This window comes from Homo sapiens, chromosome 14 (genome assembly GCF_000001405.40).
Source record: "Homo sapiens chromosome 14, GRCh38.p14 Primary Assembly".
Lineage (NCBI taxonomy): Eukaryota > Metazoa > Chordata > Mammalia > Primates > Hominidae > Homo > Homo sapiens.
Window position 1 is genome coordinate 62,984,793 of NC_000014.9, and position 19,584 is coordinate 63,004,376.

Here is a 19,584-nt window from a genome sequence, read left to right on the forward strand (position 1 = left end):
ACGTTTCTCAAAAATAAAAATGAGAAAATGTCAAGGGGAAAGTTTCTTTCTTTTCCGTTGATACAGTGAAAAAACAATTCTGAGTGATTCTGGGTGCTAAGGGAGAAGATTGTCTTCTCTATGGCCCCCTTTCACTTGTTGTCGCTCTGTTGTGTAACAGACAAAAGAAAAATCCTGAATCAGGTGTGGTTAAGACCCCAAAGGAATCATGACTATAAAAATTCACAATCACAGAAACAACCTCCTACATTTCAGCTTGATTTGCAGAAAGAAACAGGCAACTTTAGGCAGAAGAGGAACTAGCTCCAAAATCTAAGCATTTTTGCAAAAGAAAGTTGTATCTCATTGTCTGCTTTAAATCTTGTACTAATTGCATATTATCTTTTAAATATTGTGATTATTATTACTAGTTAATATTTAGTTATATTAATGTCTTATTTTGGTCTTCAGAAACATGTCTGCACATCAAAGGATTCATCTTTCCCCAAGCTAACAGTGCTATTTAGAGCAGAAAACCAAAAGTCTTTTTGTTAGCCATGGTCTAAGAAAAACTCCATAGTCTTCTAAATTCAGGGAACATACTTTACTTCCTAATCCCCTCCAAACCAGATTCAATATTTACGACAAGTTAAGAAAATTACTCTGAAGTGCTTCGACTCACTTTTCTGCAGCAGAGAAAACTGATAAGCGTATGGATTTTATCTTTCTCTTTTTTGGTAAAAGTTACCTGAGAATATTTTGTGAGTGCAAACGTAGTGCTCAGCATAGTTTTGGTAGCTTAATGAGCTTTTTGGCATCTTTCATACCAGTAATACAAATTATGGTTATAGAAGACATGTGAACAATAAAGCTATTAGCTGCCTCAGAGTTCTGTCCTCATTTTTTTTCTCCTTAGTCTCAGGGTAACATCGTCTAGTCACATGACTTGAACAGCCATAACTGTGAAGATGACACTGAAGCCTACAATTCAAACTCAAATATCCTTCCAGAGTGCCAGACCCATAAATCTCCCTGCTGTTCAGGCATCTCCACTAGGGCTTCCTATGGGGCTCTTCAAACTTTGTATGCCCCAAACTGAACTCATGATCATTGTCCTCAAATCTTCTTTCCTTCATCTTACATTCGTCATTTTATTAACCAACAGAACTATCTACCCTGTCATCTAAATCAAAAACATAGAATTGTCCTGGACTCAACCCCTTGTTTCACACACTATTCTAATGTATTAACAAATGTGTTCACTCTAATCTTAATGTGTCTGCAATCCACCCACTTCTGCTACCACTATCCTGCTGACAACCGTGGTCATGCTAACTTACTTACTGCTAGGACTTCCTCACTGGTTTCCCTACCTCCCCATTCTCCACAGAGCCACTAGGCCAAGCAGGAGTTTTTAATCATTTTGTGCCTTGGATCCCTATGGCAATCTGGTAAAAACTATGGACCTCTTCTTAGAATAAAGTTTTTGAATTAACACAATAAAAACATGAAATTGCAAAAGAAACCAATTAGGACCCACCTCCCTTTGAGAGGTTTTTCTGAGGCACAAAGGTCATTTTCCTGGCACATGAGACACCAACCACCACCATTTCACTATATGCCACCCTACCTTCTCCTTCCCCATATGAGTTCAACTACAGTAAAGTCATACTCAACGTCACCATACTACCTCATCTCTGACCCTTTGTACATGCTGGCCTCCCTGGTAGGAATAAACTATATCCCTTCTTTACCTGACTAGCTCTCACATTTTCCCTTCAGAATTCACTCAGCCCAGGTATCATCTCACTCACACAGCCTTCCCTAGGGCCCCACATTTGGGCAAATTCTCCTGCACAGGCTCCCACAGCACCCTGTCATTGCATCTTTTCACATCTTATGATCAGTTTCCTCTGCTGGATATTTAACTCCTTGATGACAGGGCCCATTTCTTATTTAACTTTACATCCTTTGCAGAGTGCCAAGCACAGAGCATACCCTGAATATGTGTTTGCTGCATATATGCATGAAGCAATGAAAGAACTCCCTATCTGATATGCTCAAAGAAAACCTTACACTCTACAGACATGACCTGGGATGTCATGAGCTACACTCCCATTTCAAAAGTTGGAGAGAATGAATAGAAATATTTGGGATTTCTATATTTCTACAAGGGAAACATAAATTATCAGCTAAGTATTTATAAGATCATAGCCAGAAATATCTATATTAAATCATTTTAGGGAAGAAAAATGTACCAACACCACCATCTTGGGAAGCAAAATTCATCTCATACTTACTTCAGCTAGTCTTGAATGTTTATGGACCACCTCTGTTTTATTCATTGGCGTGAGCTGCTGCAAAACACTTCGGCTATTTGTCAAAGCCCGTGTCAATCGGGCAAATTTCGTCCAACCTTAAAAATAAGGAAAGAAAGTCTCAGTTTTTCATACAAATGAATAAGGAATCCAACATTCTTGCTAGCATTAAAAAGATCTCAGCAACCACATAACATCCAAAATGAATGCAAAGTATCAAACAAAAGTATTTTCTTTCCTTCTGTATAGACATGCTCATATATTTGAAGTGTGGCCATAAAATAATGAGCAATTTTTATGTGTGACCTTTGTATTTTGCCCATATCTGTGTATAGTCCCTGTAGCCAATGCAACTAGCTATCCACAAAATTCTGTGCTCCTCCTTGCATTGTACAGCTTTCTTACTGGGAAATAGCTGTCCAATTAGGAACATACTTCCCAGAATTTCTTGCATCTCAGTATGGCCTATGTCCCTGGTTCTCACCAATGGAATGCAGACAGAAGTAATGTGTGTCACTTCCATGCCGTGATTTAAGAAACAACTGTGACTTCTCCACAATTTCTCTTTCTTTCTACCAGCTGGACAAGGCCCAAGGGGATAGCAAAGCTGCTGAATAACTGTGTGGGAAAATGCCATATGCCAGCCAGGATCGTTTGCCTTGGACTGTTACATGAGCAAGAAATGTGCTTCTATTGTATTAAGCCACTAAAAGTTGGGGATTTATTTGTTACAGCAGCTAGTCTTACCCTAATTATAATAGTCCTTCAATGTGTTTGTGTGCAGATATAAGAGAATAAAACTGAATTTCAACAAATCTTACTTTTTATGGTTCATTTCACACACTTCCATCTTCCTTGTAACATAGCAAAATGTTATTTATCTGTTATTAACAACTGCAGTGATACCTAAATTTATTTTTGGAATATCTAGAATTGTTAATAATGTCTTCTGAAAGAGCAGTGACTTTTGGGGGAAAGAAATGCAATTTAATGGGAAAGAATTTTCTTCTGGGGCCTCAAATTGCCAGTAATAAAATCATTAATCTCAAGGAAATGTCAATAAGAAGTGAACAAATAGAACAAAACCAGCCATACTCTCATCCTGTCTCAATTATCCTTTCCCTAGATATCTCAAAAGCTCCAATTCATTAAAAAATTTTATTAACACTATCTGATAACTTCTACACAATTACCCTTCATGAGGTCATTTATCAGGCAACTCCTTAAAACTGAAAAACTCCTGATGTTCCAAAGGAATGATGACAATGATGAAATTTCAGATGATATGACAAAAAAAAAATTAAGGAAGAAATTCTGGAAATACACCTGCCTAATATCTGTCAAACCATAAAATGCAGGTGACATCATTCTTTACTACTATTCTTCAGGCTGATTCTAATTTAATTTAAGCTTTGTATTGCCCCACCAATTCAGGTCTATGTATCAATAACTGGATTGGAAAAGAAATAAACTGGCATCAATTGATGGAGAGTCTTTATTTCTTCTACATTATTGGACCCCATCCTAGTAATTAGAACAAAAAAAAAGTTAGGTTTTGGGAATTGTATGCAACCCTAAGGCTTACCCTGTACAATGTGCTGTGGAAACAAAAAAAAAGGGTATTAGATATGACACCAACTCTCTAAAAACTCAACATTAATGAAAAACCAACATGCAATCTCTATGACAAATTGAGACTTTTCTTTTGAATGCCAGACCTATGTGTCTAGCTAGCCACTGGACTTTTCTTACTACAGTATTCTACAGGCATCTGACAACACTCAACATGTCCAAAACTGACACCATCTTCCCCCTTTATCACCCACTCTGCCTCACTCATGCATCCCTGATCTTGTCAAATGGCCCCAAGATATTTCTAATGCCCAAATGAGAAACATGAAATTCGCCATCCTCTTTTCACTATTACCTACACACACACACATACACACACACACACTTATTTCCTAGCCTTATAGATTATAACATCAATAAATATCTCTCAAATTGAATCTCCTCTCTGCACCCCTACTATGTCAGACAACACAACGTCTTTCACCCGAGTTAGGCAGCATTCCAAAACCACATCCTCATTGCTTGCAAAGTTCTTTCTAAAACACATGCCTTTTACCCTATTACCCTTTAACAGAAACCTGAAGGCCTCCAGGATAACACTGTATATCCTTGGTATACAGGTCATTTATTTTCTGATCCAAGTGATTTGCTCTGCCTCTGTCTCTTGCCACTTTCTCACACATGCTCTGCATCCCAGCCTTATTAAAATCAATAGCAAATCAAATAAAGAATAAATTCAAAACTAAAATTAAATCTACTAGGAATTCTTTGCACACCCTACGCTGTTTTGTGTTTCCGTATTTTCACATGTTACAATCATTCTGCCTTCCTGGAATGTCTTTTCCCTCCCCCATCTTTCTGGCTAACACTTACTGGTAACTGCAGACTCAGTAAAAGCATTACCTGGATGCTTCTTTGATCCACCCACAAGTGAGAGGTGCCCTCCTCTGTACACGCACATCATGGGATGCATACCTCACCTGGCACTAACAACACTGATGTAATTGTTGATTGATATAATAGCCACTCTTGCTAAACTCTTGTTTATCCCTCCATTCTTAGCACTTGAAACAAGGCCTGGCATAAAATACACCATAAAATAAATCAATTGTATTTGTAACTTTAAAAATCAGATATAAAATAAATCTCATTTTGTTTTATTATCATTGGTTTTTGGTTTGGTTTTGCTTTGTTTGGTAAAAGTGGTGAGGGCGTCTTTGGATGACAGTAACTATATTAGTCATAGGTATATTATAATTTTACCTGGTGATAATCTGTGCACCTTACATCAATAGAATGTTATAATTGCCTTGACTATTTCTAGAAAATTCCAAGTCAATCTTTTACTTACTGAAGGCTCAGATTTCTAAAACAGGTAAAATTACAGCCCTTGGTATAACTCATTGGATTAAAAGAAAAGCCCACTTTCGTTCCCTGTGTGAAAAAAAGGTTTATCCAGAAAACATTTTGAAAAAAAAAGGAGACATTTAGGAATAAATTAAATGATCCATAAACAAATACAAATCATCAAATGGCATGTTTTCTCTGATTTCACAGTATCATACATGAAAATAAGTGTGAGAAAGGAGAAATATGACAATGAAAGCTTATTGTCATCCTCTGGCTTTCCATTTGAAGCATCATGAGCACAGACTACAACTGTGTTTCTTAAGGAGGAAGCAGTTGTTCCTAATACAAAAAAAGCTTGTTCAAATGTCTGTGTATGTGTGTACCTTAATTTACACATGAAGTCAGTGTGATCAAGGAATATTTCATCTCTTTTCTTTACCTTATTTTACTTTCTTGAAGAAAAAAAATCATTTTTAAACAGTAAAAATAAAACACATGCATTTTTCTCCATGAATAAAAATAGGACTATCATTGATTTGAAAAACAGAAAGAAAATGAAAGAGAAAGGTAATATTAACCCATCATTCTAAAAATGTTTTAAATCAGCATATTCTGAGTAAGACTACCCTTGAACATAGATGAAAAGGGAAGTGACTGCATCGTGCGACTTTTAGTTGCCAGATCTTATATTTTCTATCCTTGTGTATTAGTCCGTTCTCATGCTGCTATAAAGAACTGCCTGAGACTGGGTAACATATGAAGGAAAGAGGTTTAATTGACTCACAGTTACACATGGCTGGAGAGGCCTTGGGAAAGATACAATCATGGCAGAAGGGAAAGCAAACACATCCTTCTTCACATGGTGGCAGGAAGGAGAAGTGCCGAGCCAAGAGGGGAAAATCCCCTTATAAAACCATCAGATCTCAGAGAATTTACTCACTATAATGAGAACAGCATGGGGGGATCACCCCCATGATCTAATCACCTCCCATGAGGTCCCTCCCCCAATGTGGGGATTACAATTCAAATTAAAATTCAAGATGAGATTTGGGTGGGGACACAGAGCCAGACCATATTACCTTGGTTGACTAACACATAGTGGGCACTAGATCTGTTTTTGTGGAATGTTTTACTGAATGGTTTTGTTTAGTGAATGAATTAATGATGATTAATGAGGAAATAAATAGGAGTACAGCATCTGCATTATATGTAAATATTTAAAATTTAAAGAAGAAAATACATTCAGTTCTTAGGTATTAGCATAGCTTATATGAAGGAAGTCTTTTGGTTGAAGAAGGTAGGAAAGGCATGGTAGGGAAGGTTAGAGAAGGAATTCTGGAAGTGTTAAGGATTATAATCTGCTTTCAGAAAGAGAACTGGGGAACTGCTGGCAGAAAAAAGAAAAAAAAGTGGTGGCAAATGTTGAACTGACTCAGACGGACCAGAAGAGAGAAATTTAGGAGAAAAGACTTGGAAAGGATTCTTTCTTCCTAGATAAATCAAAGCCAAAGGCGGTTGTAAAATTGAGTAATCGTTTATGAGTTTTGCTATCAAAATGCCCTAGAACATGGAGAATCAATGCAAAGCAAATGAATGTTTTGGTACACATTAAAATCAATGGGAGCATTCAGAGATGAGCTTTCTGAGCTACTCAGTAATCTTTTTATTTGACTCTGATTAGGGCCTTCTTGCAGTTCCAGTTCCAAAGAGTTAGCATTTTTCTCACAACACCTATGCTGTCCTTCTCTCCTTACTGTCAGCACAAACCCCTGCCAAAAATGTTATTGAAAAAAGCAGAAGCCATAAGAAACATGATAGTCTTCTTTTTAATTTATATAAAGTTATGAGGTACAAGTGCAATTTCTTTACATGTATCAATTGTATAATGGTCAGGGCTTTTAGGGTAACTGTGACCTGAATAACATATATTGTACTCATTAAGAATTTCTCATCATCCACCCTCTCCCACGCCTTCACCCTCCCAAGTCTCCAATGTCTATCATTCCACTCTCTACATCCATGTGTACACATTTTTTTAACACCCACTTATGAGTGAGATTATTTGATATTTGTCTTTCTGTGTCTGGGTTGGTTCACTTAAGATAACGGATTCCAATTCCATCCATGTTGCTGCAGAAGACATGATTTCATTCTTTTTTATGGCTGAGTAGCATCCCATTGTGTATATATGCCACATGTTCTTTATCCAGTCATCCACTGATGGATAATTAGATTGATTCTATCTTTGCAATTGTGAATAGTGCTGCAATAAACATATGAGTGCAGGTATCTTTTTTGTGTAAAGATTTATTTTCTTTTGGTACATATCCAGTAGCAGGACTGCCAGATCAAATGGTAGTTCTATTTTTAGTTGTTTGAGAAATCTCCATATTGTTTTCCATTGAGGTTGTACTAACCTACATTCCCACCAACAGTGTACAAGAGTTCCCTTTTCTCCACATCCTTACCAACATCTGCTATTTTTTGTCTTTTTAATGGCCATTCTGATTGTTGTGAGATGGTATCTCATTGTAGTTTTAATTTGCATTTCTCTGATGATTAGTGATGTCAAGTATTTTTTCATATACTGTTGGCCATTTGTATGTATTCTTTTGAAAAATATCTATTCATGTCCTTTGCCCACTTTTTAATGGAGTTATTTTGTTGTTGTTGAATTGGGTGCCTTATAAATTCTAGATATTAGTCCTCTGTTGAATAAATAGTTTGCAGATACTTTCTTCCCTTCTTCAGGTCATCTGTTCACTCTGTTGGTTCTTTCTTTTGCTGTATAGAAGCTTTTAGTTTAATTAAGTTCCATATGTCTGTTTTCATTTTTGTTGCCTCAGCTTTTGAGGTCTTTGTCATGAATTCTTTGCCTACACCAATGTCCAGAAGAGTTTTTCCTAGATTTTCTCCTAGTATTTTTATAACTTCAAGTCTTATGTTTAAGCTAATCCATCTTGAGTTGATTTTTGTATATGACAAGAGATAGGGGGGTCCTGTTTCATTCTTCTGCATATGGCAATCCAATTATCCCAGCACCAGTTATTGAAAAAGGTCTCCTTTCCCCAATATATGTTCTTATTGGCTTTGTCAAAGATCAGTTGTCTGTAAATATGTGGCTTTATTTCTGGACTATCTATTCTGTTCTATTAATCAATGTGTCTATTTCTTATACCAGTACTGTGCTGTTTGGGTTAACATAGCTTTGTAATATAACTTGAAGTCAGGTAATGTGATGTCTTCAGCTTTATTCTTTTTGCTTAAGACTACTTTGGCTATTTGGGGTTTTTTTAGTTCCATATGAATTTTAGAATTATTTTTCTAATTCTGTAAAAAATGACATTGGTATTTTGATAAGAATGGCATTGAATCTGTAGATTGCTTTGGACAAAATGGTCATAGAAATGTGACAGCCTTCAGTTCCCCTTCTCTCCCATCCACCTCCAGACTAAACCACTATGGCACCTGGTTCTTACCTGCACCCCTATCATCTCAGAGAATTGATCATTTGCTCCTTCCTGATCACACATACGTTTCAATCATGTACTTTGAAGTAGATTCTAAATTTTTGCTATCACTAACAATGTCTTATACCAATCCCTTTGTGTTCCTGAACACATCTGGAATTACCTATTATTACCTATATTAGTTCATTTGATCTCCCACCAACTTGTACTGTATAAACTTTGAAAAAGTTGAGCTGCCATACTGTCTAGGTCAGAGAAAAAAGACGTATCAGCAGTTCTAACTTTTCCAAGTGATACATTTACTGATCTCACCTTTACAGAGATCTAACTGGTGTGACTGATTATTCAGCAAAGTTTGCTAATGTTACTTAGATGTGGTCGATACAGGGTAATGCAAACAGAGAGCTGAATATGAAGAGCCTAATACTTGCTCTGTAAGTTGTTCATGGCATTATGAGAATATTTGTTCTCCTAAAAGCTCAGGATGCCAGCTCCTTCTTAATAAAATATTAGTTTAGCTCTATTGGGTTGCAATTAACCTCTTTGTCATGGACTGCCTAATCTTAAAAATAAAAAGAAGTCACAGAGGCAGTTAAATCAATCTACTAGACTGCAACACAAGATTCTAATCTATAAGTAAAAAGCTTAGGTAAACAATTATGCTCTTGGCCAAAGAGACTACATTACATAGTATAATTACTCATATTTCATCTGTTGTTTCCTCTCTAAAGAAAACCATTGGCTTCCACAAGGAGAAGCTTGCTATTTTGGCTGTTATTTTTTATTCTATGGGAATTTTTTTGTCACAATTATTGGCAAGAAAATGCCATAACTATTTGGCACAAGATATTTCACACTGTAATTATCTTGGCAGTTTTGGAGTCTGTTTGAAAATACTGTACAGTATAAATGGGCAGAGATTTAGGCCATCTCTTTTAGAACACATATGGATAACTGACAGAATGGATTTCTTGGCTGTAATTTTCCTCTTTGTATTATTATAATGTATCAGGTACCACTGACTGATTACCTGAACAACACTATCAAGACCTCAATACCAGGAACAAAAAATAACGGGAACACTTTGCCCCCTTAAATTATTATCAGTTAGTTTATTTGGTTCAAAGCAGCATAATTCTCTCCAAATGAAAGTATTCTCAACCTGTGCTTCATTTTTGTGGGGAAAAAAGAAAGCAAGGGATTGAGGTAGTTAAACCTCAACAATAAGTCTCCACTGAGAAGGACGGGGCAGCATGGGTGCAATAGAGAGAACATGGGATTTGAAATCAGTCAGACGTTGAGCGTCAGAATCTTCAACAGTAAAATGGAGACAACAATACTAATTTTCAGAATTATAGAAATGACCAATAATGAATATAAAATTCTTGGCATACATTAACTACTCCATCAACACTGGCTTCCTTCCCTTTCGATGGGTTTTGCAACCATCCATCATGGTATAATTCAAAGATAGTGTTGACATTACCCAGTGCCAGTAAGATCAAATATCAATTCAGAATAAAAGTTTGGTAATCATAGATTGATTACAAGGAAGAGGTACGTTCAAATTAGTTGGCTGCCATCACATGTTGTAGTTATTTTCCCAGATATGAATCAGAAATAAAATTCAGAGTGAGTCCATTTATTTAAGTCTTTCAATCATATGTCTAAGTTTCTTGGTAAAAATATCGATACAAGTAGGAGATTAATGTTAATTCCAGTCAATTTTGGCAAATCCTCAAAGGACTTGGACCCTTGTTCCAATCATCAGGCCCCTTTTCATGTTAAGAAGGTAAAAAGTCCTTGCTCTGGGATTACATTCTGATTTTGCCGGTGTATAGATTCACTTGTCTGTCCTGAATGCTAAAACACTATTTCTTGTATGCTGGCAGAATTTTTATCAATGAAGTATTTCTTCAAAATTTTGCAAACACCCTTGTAAACATCCTCAACTCCCAGATCTTTGAAGTCCCTGAGTCTTCTCTTATTCACTTGACCAAATTTCAACATTGGATAAACACAACTTTTCACTTACTTCTGCATCTATACCTCTTTGACTAAATATGAGTGGATTAAAACACAATATTATGCTCATAGATAACTAGTGAAATTTATGACCACTAGCCTGAAATGGACCTTTGTGCAGCTCAGAAATCCTGCTGTGTTTCTCTTGTCCACTCACTATTCCACTCTCTTAGATAACTAGTTCAGACGCACTCCACTCTTCTCACACCCTTCACCATCTTTACTCTCAGTTGATAACTGTGATTCCTGTTTTTACTGAGACAACGGGAGCAATCAAAAGAAAGCTTCCACTATATATTTACTAGTTTGCCTCCCCCACTAGAATGTGACAGAAGAGACTTTGTATCTCCAGGACTTAGAATCATGCCTGTACCATATTCCCAATTTTTGGTTGGGAAAAAAAAAATAGATAAATGTAAGACAAGGAGGATAAAATATTCCTGTAAGAGTCCTGAACAGGCTCAGGTTAAGTAACTCTGGTGCCCAAAACTGAATCAACAGCAAGTCTACTCTACCCAAGTTCAATGATCTACACCCAAATTATTTTGATATTATGGTGTTATCATGTCATCGCACCCATTATTTCCCAAAAGTTCCATGGTTCCTTTACTTGATTTAAAAAGTAGAAAGATAGGTGCTTATGCCAATATTTTAAAATGTACTTTCCTACACTGCTAGCTTCAAGATATAGGATGCTGACTTAATGGCATAAATATTTTATTTCTATTGAATTTTTCATGTTAAATGTACAGTTCACATGAATAATAGAAAGTAGCTCCTACACACCATTCATAGTTACATTTTACAATACTTTTTCAATAATCTGCTATGTGTTTGGAAGATACAGAGAAGTCTCAAAAGTCTATTTAAAATAAGCTCATCTACAGATTCTGGCACTGGAAAGAGACCTTTTTCTCTAATGCTTTTCACAATGGGGTCTGATTTTCCCTATAAATTCTAATTTACATGTCTATCAAACTCATAGTTAAAAAATCAAGTGGTCTGAGTTGTCTCGAGCTTTTTCAAATATCATTTTGTATAAAAATGAATTATTCATTTCAAAGAGACTGAGCCTTACAAAGAATTCTGTGATTCTGATGTGGAGATGCAGATAAATGGAGAAGCATTAATTTCAGAAAGAAAAGTCAACACTTCAACATCAGCACCCTTTCCCCAACTTCACTGCAAAATGTTGCCGACTTTGAGTTTCCATAAATAGATATGTAGTTACTGACACCACCACTTAGGTTCAGCCGGTCAAAACTGCTGCGAAAGTACTGTACTTTCTTTGGCCAACTTCATCTGTGCCATGAAATCACTTAAAGTAAGTAAGAGAAAACAATAATCATGTAGTGCAAATACAAATACATACTTTTTTGAGAGGAAAAGACTATGATCAAAGCTTTTTACTCAGTCTGATTATCATTCGTGTATGAAAATGTTAGGTCACAAATCAGATGCCAATTATTTCTCTTTTGTTTAAAAATATATAACTTTAAGATATAGACCATTGTTAGCTGTAGAATTTTTTCATTTTTAATTTTTGTGGGTACATAGTAGCTGTATATATTTATAGGTATATGAGATGTTTTGATACAGGCACGCAATGCGTTAATAGTCACATCATGGAGAATGAGATATCCATCCTCTCAAGCATTTATCCTTTGCGTTAAAAACAATCCAATTAAACTCTTTTAGTTATGTAAAAATGAAAACAATTGACAACAGGGACATAGAGAGTAGAAGGATGGTTACAAGAGGCTGGGAAGGGTAGTTGGGGAGTAAGATGGGGAGATGGTTAATGGGTATAAGAAAAAAATAGTTAGAATATTATAGGCTTTATATAGATGTTCCTTATCAAACTAGAGAAGCTCCCCTCTATTCAAACTTTACTGAGAGTTTTTATCATGAACAAGTGCTGGATTTCAGCAAGTGCTTTCTCTCTGCTGACTGGCATAATCATGACTTTTCTCATTATTTTGTGAATTACATTTTTATATGGTAGATTACAGCAACTGGTTTTTGCATGTTAAACCAGCCTTGCATAAGTGGGATAAACCCCACTTGGTTGTCATAATTCTTTTTAGATATTGTTGGATCCAATTTTTGTAGAGGATTTTGAATCTATATTCATGAAAAATATTGGTTTGGAAGGCCGAGGCAGGCAGATCACGAGGTCAGGAGATCGAGACCATCCTGGCTAACACAGTGAAACCCCGTCTCTACTAAAAATACAAAAAAAAATTAACCGGGCATGGTGGTGGGCGCCTGTAGTCCCAGCTACTTGGAAGGCTGAGGCAGGAGAATGGCATGAACCTGGGAGACGGAGCTTGCAGTGAACCGAGATGGCACCACTGCACTCCAACCTGGGGGACAGAGCCAGACTCCATCTCAAAAAAAAAAAAAAAAAAAAATTAAAAAAAAAATATGTCTGTAGTTTTCCTTTCTTGTAATGTCTTTTTCTGGTTTTGCTATATGGGTAGTGCTTGCCTCAGAATAGGTTAAGAGAGCTCTCTCTGCTTCTATTATCTGGAAAAGACTTGAACTGGTATTATTTCTTCCCTAAACGTATGGTAGCGCTTACCAATGAAACCATCTGCATCTGGTCTTTTCTTGGTTTTGGAAGATTATTAATTATTGTTAATTTTTTAAATAAATAAAGCACAAATGAAGTTCATTTTTCCTTCTGTAAGTTTTGGTAGTTTGTGTGTTTCAAGGAACTGGTCTGTTTCATCCAATTTATCAATGGCAGCTATAGAGTTGTTCGCAGTAGCCCTTTACTCTGCTTGAATGTCCATGTCTTTAATTTCTGATATTGGTAATTTGTGTCTTTACCCTTTTTTCTCAGTTAGCCTGGCTAGAGGTTTACTAACTTTAATGACCTGTTCAAAGAACCAGCTTTGGGTTTTTGTGATTTTCTCTAATGTTGTCCTGTTGCCCAGTTCATTGATTTCTGTTGTAAGGTTTATTATTCCTTGTCTTCAGTTTGCTTTGGTTTAAATTGTTTTTCTTTATCTAGTTTTCTAAGGTAGAATCTTAGATTATTGATTTTATGTCTTTCTTCTTTTCTAATATATGCATTTAATGTTACATATTTCCCTCTAAGCACTGCTTTTGCTGCATCTCACAAATTTGATAAATTGTATTTTCATTTTTCTTTAGTTAAAAATATTTTTCTAACTTATCTTAAGGCTGCTTCTTTGATTTGTTTAGAAACATGTTTCATTTCCAAATATTTCAGGATCTTCCAGATATCTTTCTATTACTCATTTCTAGTTTAATTCCACTTTGGTCTGATAACATACTTTTTAAGATTTATATTTTTTTAAATTTATTAAGGTAGTTTTATGGCCCAGAATGTTATCTCTCTGGTGAATGCTCCACTCCTTGTGAGGTGAAGAATATGTATTCTCTGGCTGTTGGATGGAGCACCATGAATTTTAAAACAAGCAAATGAGCATTAAACCTAAATATTGCTGCAATAAACATACGTGTGCATGTGTCTTTACAGCAGCATGATTTATAGTCCTTTGGGTATATACCCTGTAATGGGATGGCTGGGTCAAATGGTATTTCTAGTTCTAGATCCCGGAGGAATCGCCACACTGACTTCCACAATGGTTGAACTAGTTTACAGTCCCACCAACAGTGTAAAAGTGTTCCTATTTCTCCACATCCTCTCCAGCACCTGTTGTTTCCTGACTTTTTAATGATTGCCATTCTAACTGGTGCGAGATGGTATCTCATTGTGGTTTTGATTTGCATTTCTCTGATGGCCAATGATGATGAGCATGTTTTCATGTGTCTTTTGGCTGCATAAATGTCTTCTTTTGAGAAGTGTCTGTTCATATCCTTCGCCCACTTTTTGATGGGGTTGTTTGTTTTTTTCTTGTAAATTTGTTTGAGTTCATTGTAGATTCTGGACTATTCACAATAGCAAAGACTTGGAACCAACCCAAATGCCCAACAATGATAGACTGGATTAAGAGAATGTGGCACATACACACCATGGAATACTATGCAGCCATAAAAAATGATGAGTTTATGTCCTTTGTAGGGACATAGGTGAAATTGGAAATCATCATTCTCAGTAAACTATCGCAAGGACAAAAAACCAAACACCGCATGTTCTCACTCATAGATGGGAATTGAACAATGAGAACACATGGACACAGGAAGGGGAACATCACACTCTGGGGACTGTTGTGGGGTGGGGGGAGGGGGGAGGGATAGCATTAGGAGATATACCTAATGCTAAATGACGAGTTAATGGGTGCAGCACACCAGAATGGCACATGTATACATATGTAACTAACCTGCACATTGTGCACATGTACCCTAAAACTTAAAGTATAATAATAATAAAAAAAAAAGGGAAAAGAAAAAAAAAACCCTAAATATTATTAGAAGACTGTTCAATTTAAAAGTAGTATTTATAGTTATCTTAAATTTCCCAGGCACTGAGTCTATGTGTAAAGGAACAGGGAATATGGGTCCAAATTGAATACTTTATTCGATCTTCAAAGCACAAATAAATTGCTGTCATACTTTGAATGGTTTGCACACTGTAAAAATTATCCTCTCGCTATTTGATGTTAACCAGAAACTGAGCAGATACAATATTATATATGTGAGTTCCTATGCAAGGAATAAACTTACTGTGATTTTTTCTATAATTATGATTACAGTTGGAAAGATTAAAGTTTCTATGCCAGTTTTTTAAAAAGAAGTAAGGAAAGGCGATGTTTGTCAAATGCAAAGAGGAAGACATTTTATTTTTAGTTTCCTAAGAGATTATTAAAAATAACATTTCATAAAAACTACTTCTAAGGTTATTTGAAATACTTCATTTATATGACACCAGTTTCTAATTTAAACATAATTGGAGAGAATAAATTGGGAATAAATTACATAGAAAAGGAGGTAAAAGCACATGCCACTGACTAGTGGTTTCTATAGCAGTCTCTTTGACTATTATAGTCAATAAGACTACAGTCAGAAGGTTTGCATTTTGCCAGTCACTCTCCTGAAGACAAAATTATTCTTTCCATAATCTAGCAACATCTACTCTAGGGACTACACAACAGAATAAATAAAAACTGAAAAGTAACTTGAAAAAGTCAACTATTACAATTGTAATTCAACAAAATTCAATCAACTAACCAACTGAGCTCTAGTTAGATTTCACCCAAACCATTCCACCAATTGTTACGTTTTGGCTCTAAAGCTCACCATGGTATGAGGTGTTGAAATTCCAATCATATTGATTCAAAATTAACAATGCTCAGCCAGGTGTATGGCCCACGTCTGTAATCCCAGCACTTTGGGAGGCCAAGGGGGGTCAGATAACTTGAGCCCAAGTGTTTGAAACCAGCCTGGGCAACATGGCGAAACCCTGACTCTATAAAAAATAGAAAAATTAGCCAGGTATGGTGGCGCACACCTATAGTCCCAGCTACTCAGGAGGCTGAGGTGGGGGGACCACTTGAGACTGGGAGATGGAAATTTCAGTGAGCTGAAATGACACCACTACACTCCAGCCCAAGCAACAGAGTGAGACCTTGACTAAAAGACAAACAAAAAAAATGCTCTATAAAATTTCTTACTCATGCTATAAGTTAACCAATCTATATTTCAACTTTGGATAGACATGCCATTTCTATTCCAACAGTATGATTGAATAAAACAGATTCCAAGCAATGAAGCAAAAGAAAGGCCACATAGTAGAATTTTGTTTTCCAGTTCAATCAGCAGAGGTAAAACAGTAAGAAGATCTTTTAGCAACAGCCTAATTTTTCAGTGTAGTAATTCTTTTGAAAATTACCTTTTGTTGAATCATCCTCTATTGGCTGTTTGAACAACGTAATATCCTTGAAAGTACACAGGAACAAGACCACCTTTTCATGTTCATTTCTTATTGGTGCAATTTGCATATAAAACCAAACAGGGGTTCCTGTAACAGAAAGAAGTTGGGGAAAGGACATTAGAGTGTGGCACGGCCACAGCAGTGGTTTGGTCTCCTGGCTTCCTTCTTCCTTCAGCTGCCAACAGCTGTGCCAGGAATCAACACCAAAACAACAGTATATTAATTACTACAAACAATCCGTAAACCTTTAATTTTGTATCAACTACCAGTTGTTCAAATTTAATAAACACAGTATACACGCCAAAATATCAAAATTCTAAAGTAAAGCACAGGCTGTCATTTCACAATGCAGGAACACAAAGGCAGTCTTGCTACTTAAGCAATCCCAGCAACACCTGTAGGTCTGGGTCCCTCAACCACTGCTGCTCTCACCAACTTTCTTCTGAGAGTCTTACCAATTGTGATCACTCCTACCTGCTTCTCTCGTCATGTCACTTTGACAAGTGTTTCCAATTAACTGCAACAGCCATACCTGATCTTCTAATAAGCATTCCTCTTGGAGGAACATCTAAAATACTGTTTCTATCCCAAGGCTCTCTCATCAGTCAGATAGACTTATATGATAGCTCTATGGCTTTGACAGCATCCCCACATCAGAGAGAGAGGATGTCAGCAAAACTTGATGTCCGATGTACACAGAGCTCTACCTGAAACTGTTAAGGCAGCCTGAAGAAAAATAGACGTGTCCCCAGCTTTTGAGATCCCCAGGCATCTTTTTGAGCCACTGCTGCCTACCTCCCTCACTTAAACAGCATGAAGCTGGACTCTATCACCTCGTTCTTCGAAGGATGGCTACTGCAGACTCTGCCCTCTAGGACAGAGGGTATCAAAGTATTCAAGGCTTATCATTTGGATAAGTCAGGAACTGGTATATAACAAATAGAAATATGTGAAGGCACAAGAAATGCCTTCAAAGGTGTAATTATCTGTTAGGTGATAAAACACTGAAGGGAAGATTCCATTACAATCAAAGAGACACATTTACATTACAATCAAAGAGACACTTTTCTCATTATATTCTCTTCATGCCACAGTGCAGTAAAGCCCCTCCAAATATTCTATTTTAAGACATAAAGGTTTTTGTAAGGTTTAGGATTTGGGGAGTGAAACGTGCAGGTATTAATAGTCTGTAGGTAAGACCCTAGCCTTTTACTAGCTTCCATTAAGAACCGAATAAGAAGCACTTCTATTCCCATGGCCTAAAAAAATAAAAAATAAAAAAGTCACCTAATGTCACCACAAAGGGGAATTTTTCATTTAGACAGGATGAGATAACTACCAGGCTCAAGAAGTCAGAGAATTAGAGAAAGGAGATTTCTATGGGACTATTCAGCTGTGACAATCAGGTTTTCTGCAACCCCAGGGGGCCTATGGAAGGACGTGGCCCTTTCCAAAATGATGGTAGAATGAGACAGGGACCTCAAAAATAATCACATCATCTCCCCGAGAGGCTTGTTCATTTTTTTCTGTTTTCGTATTTTACACAGCGTGACCAGGAACTGTGAGTGATGTGCACGGTTTTACAAATCACCAGACCCAGACGTTAGTGGATACATGGCCTGTAGCTATTCCAACACAGTAAGCTTGAGGCAGAAGGGTCATAAACAAAGAGAAAAGGGCACTAAAAAAATAAGTAATTTTCCAAGGTCTGTTAGAAATCTGAACAGAAAGAGATGATGTTAGATTTCATGCCTTGCTGTGAAAACCGCAACTTTTCAAATTCTGGCACAGAGTCTGGGCTCTCTTTAAAACTGCTTTAGATATGAAGGTAATTGTTTTTCAACTTTCCAAGCCACAGGGTCATATTTCCCCAAGTAGGCTGAGTATCTGCCAAGTATGTGGTGATAGATCCTTCATATTCTGGATTTGGGGTTCAGGGGGCTGGGGAGTCTGGGAGGGTTAAGTAGAGGAACCTGCTGTGGCTGAATCTCGGTGCAGTGCTCCAGCATTGATGACTTGGAGGAGCCTCGGCTATCAGTTCTGCATTTGAGTACACAGAAAGAGCCATATATATATATTATATATATATTTTATATATATTATATATATTTTATATATATTATATATATATTTTATATATATTTTATATATTTTATATATATTATATATTATATATAGTATATATTATATATATTTATATTTATATACATAATATATATATTTATATATTTATATTTATATATATATATATATTTTTTTTTTTTTGAGACGGAGTCTCACTCTTTCGTCCAGGCCCAACTGCAGTGGCACTATCTCGGCTCACTGCGAGCTCCACCTCCTGGGTTCATGCCATTCTCCTGCCTCAGACTCCTGAGTAGCTGGGACTACAAGGCGCCTGCCACCACGCCCGGCTAATTTTTTGTATTTTTAGTAGAGACGGGGTTTCACCGTGTTAACCAGGATGGTCTCGATTTCCTGACCTCGTGATCCGCCCGCCTCGGCCTTCCAAAGTGCTGAGATTACAGGTGTCAGCCACCGCGCCCGGCCAGAAAGAGCTATCTTAAGCTCAGAGCTACCATTTCTTTCCCCACAGTAGAAACAGCCCCCTGCTAATCAGAGCACTGGACCTACAGAACAGAGGCTGCAAACTAAAATTTCAATGGTGATGCATATTCAATCAGATGCCGCAATTCCCCCATTTGCAAAATGGTGTTTAACTTAATTGCTTAAAGGACGTATTGGGAGAACTTGGCACATAGGCATTCCCAAAACAGTTTTCTGCAGATGTGAATTTTTCTACCTAACACTTTTTTTAAATCACAAAAATATGCTTTTCTCAGCTGATGTTCAAAACCTTTCAGCTATTTACAAGACTTTTTAAAAGCTGCATTTAAATAGCAAAACTCCATTATAATACATGGATAACACCTATCCTTCACTAAAGAGGAAAACAAAAGCAAAACTCAATGTAGATAGTGCACAGAAAGGAGGCACAAGTTTTAAC

General features: G+C 36.7%; 1 protein-coding gene across 3 annotated transcripts in view; it reads right to left on the minus strand.

Moving 5' to 3' along the window:
• Nucleotides 1-19,584, minus strand: part of KCNH5 (potassium voltage-gated channel subfamily H member 5) — a 345,995-nt gene that overhangs the window by 285,329 nt on the left and 41,082 nt on the right. For all 3 annotated transcript variants that reach the window (NM_172375.3, NM_139318.5, XM_047431275.1), the window contains exons 4-5: nt 16,539-16,667; nt 2,280-2,395 (exon numbers count right to left, since the gene is read on the minus strand). In NM_172375.3, coding sequence (NP_758963.1) covers nt 2,280-2,395; nt 16,539-16,667 — 245 coding nt within the window. The remainder of the gene's footprint in view (nt 1-2,279; nt 2,396-16,538; nt 16,668-19,584) is intronic.